The following is a 3,173-nucleotide window of genomic DNA, read 5'->3' on the forward strand; positions in this document are numbered from 1 at the left end:
TCAAAAGTTTCTGATTCAAGATAAGGGCCCCTGAGGTTTTTATACAGCATGAATTAGTTACAGGATGGTAATTTAAACAAATTTGTGTTCTTACATATGTAGCGAGATTGATGTAGGAGAGTTCTTAAATCACATTCGTAAATATTAGAGTAATTCTGAATTTCTTGGATACGTTACTCTGAAGCTAACTTTAACAGTAGTGGTAATTATAAATGTGGGAGGGGCACGGACCACACAGATGTTACAGGATATAATTTATAGTCTTGTGATCCAAACTAAAAGAGAAGTACAACTTAGTAGACTTTACCTTGAAAATTAATGGTTTGCTACATAATTAATGTATCTCTTCATGAATGGAGAAAAAATTAGCTTAGCTACAAGAACAGGCTCAACTGATTCATGGGCTCTTATGATTTTTTTTTTTCCTGCACAAAGTTTCAAATGACTAGATTGTGCTTTCTGAAAATTATTTAGGTGTTATTTAACAGAAAGGAATTGGAAAAAGGTAATCATTGCTTCATAAGTAGCATTATTATGGCATTATAACTTTAAAGATATAATACTTCTCAGCTAATTGCATTGTGTGAGTATTGGAAACTGACTTAATAAGCAACTTACCAGTATCTGTTGCTCTTGCTGTAAGACCATTTGCTATTTGGATGCCAGACTAAAAATCCATTTGATAATGATTCTAAGTCTTGAGTCACATTCACAAATGTGAATGTTTTCAATATAGCATCTGCACTGCTAGCAATCCAGAAAATATTTCAAGTAGTACTGGAGATCATTCAATACAAGCCAGATTATAAGAGATAAAGTTGCAACCATGCAGATGACTAGGTGCCTACTCCCTGCCCCCTCACATCATATTATTCTGGGTGAGTAGCAAGCTGGATTACACTCTCCCTTACCTGTCCTCAGTCAAATGATCAGGCCCAATGTCAACACAACTGAGACTTAATAGAGACCTATTCATAGTGAAATTGAATACTCCTCTAGACAGAAGATATGTGGTAGTCAAGACATCCAATGTTTGGCATTTCAAAAAATAAGTTCCATAGAAGTGTTTTGATAAACTTGTCTGAGTATACCTCTGTCATAAAAGGATGCTTCTGGTTTACCAGGGTGGTGTATGATACCAAGGCAAGAGGCCTACTTAACTGTGGGCTATTGGTATGAAAAGGACATACAGATGGATATTGATCAAATTTCCCTGTATCTTGCTAGGAGGTAGATAGCCTGTTTTTGTTTGTGTGTTTGTTTGTTTGTTTGTTTTTTCCAAATTCCTATGGGATATACTTTCACATTGTAGCAGCATATCTGACATCACCATGGTAAGAATCCTGCATTGCTGTTCAAGGACGTTTTCATTCTCTTGTAAAGTTTCATATAGCAACCTCATAAATGATAGTAAAGCAAAGGTTTGCTAAAGATATATACCATGCAAAAGACACACATTGCCTTCAGTGCACATGCCTGACAAAACCTTTACATTTTTCTTGATTATTTACATGACAATCTCTTTAGTGGTTTTCACCATTAGAGAAAAGAATCCTGGAACTTCTCTTTGAGGAAACTTATGGAAACTGAAATTGCCAGCAGAGATGTACATTAGAATTTATTTCTGTCAGACAACAGCACTTGCTTATAGAATTACAGGTGATAAGACACAGCTTAAAGTTAAGGGAATAATACACTGAGTATCAGAAGTAGCAACTTTGCCTAGAAACTTTTTATGATACCACAAAGAATCTTTGTGTTATCTGTTGACAGTCCTGAATGTTTTTTATGAGAGTGTGGGGTAAATTAGGCTTGGTGGAAGGGGTCACCAAAACAGAGAACTTTATAATTGGTGGTAGAAGAAGAAAGCAAAAGAGAGATGCAGAAGACGAAGTCAAAGATATTACAAGCATAAGGATTCAATGCATGTTGCTGGATCTGAGATGTAGGGAGCCATTTGCAAAGACTAGAGAGAAGCCTCTAGAAGATAAGAGAGACCCTGACTGACAACCAGAAGGAAAATGGGGACCTCAGTCCTATAACTGAAAAAAAACTGGATTCTACCAACAACCTGAAAAAACTTGGAAGCAGATTCTTCTCAGATAAAAGTCCAACAGGCTGATGCTGGCTTCTGACCAACAAAATTATGAGATAAATGAGTGTCATTTTAAGCCACCAAATTTGTGGCAATGTATTCTGGCAGCAATAGAAAACCAGTACTGTAGGGCCAGGCGCGGTGGCTCACGCCTGTAATCCCAGCACTTTGGGAGGCCAAGACGGGCGGATCACAGGGTCAGGAGATCGAGACCATCCTGGCTAACACGGTGAAAACCCGTCTCTGCTAGAAATACAAAAAATTAGCTGGGCATGGTGGCGGGCGCCTGTAGTCCCAGCTACTCGGGGAGGCTGAGGCAGGAGAATGGCGTGAACCCGGGAGGTGGAGCTTGCAGTGAGCCGAGATCGCGCCACTGCACTCTAGCCTAGGCAACAGAGCAAGACTCCGTCTCAAAAATAAATAAATAAATAAATAAATAAATAAATAAACAAACAAATAAATAAGAAATAAATAAAAATTAAAAAAAAAAGATAACCAGTACTGTAACCTCTTAATGATAGTAATTACATCATAATGTCCTATGAGAATTAAATTAATATATAGAAATCCTCACAAAAGTATCTGGCACATAGTTAGTGCTATATCAGCATTTGCCAAGTTGATTAATATGCAGAATATCTTAAAAGATGCAAAGATATGTCTATTGCACAGGTTTGTCAAGTTTGGTATTTACTATGCTTTTTTATTTCTCTATCATTTTAGGCAGTCTTGAGAAGTTAAAACACTTACCTTTCCTAGGGAAAGCAAAATATGCCAAATATATACTTGCAAAACTCCTTTACATACCAAGTTTTCTGACTCATATTGCCTAAGAGACATTTAAAAAGTATATTTAATTTTAAAATTTTAAACACATATTGGAAGAAACTTTTAAACCCATAGCCCATTAAAATACACAAAATGTCATTATCTGTTTTCCTAATCAGATCTGTGACTCCATATACTCAGTGATGAGCCCTTTCATACTTTCCTGTATGAGTCAGAGAAGTATGCTTTGCTCTTAGCAGGCATCTTTTATACACATTTTAAATTATCTTTTAGAGAAAGTCTAGTGACA

Source organism: Homo sapiens, chromosome X (genome assembly GCF_000001405.40).
Source record: "Homo sapiens chromosome X, GRCh38.p14 Primary Assembly".
Taxonomy (NCBI): Eukaryota; Metazoa; Chordata; class Mammalia; order Primates; family Hominidae; genus Homo; species Homo sapiens.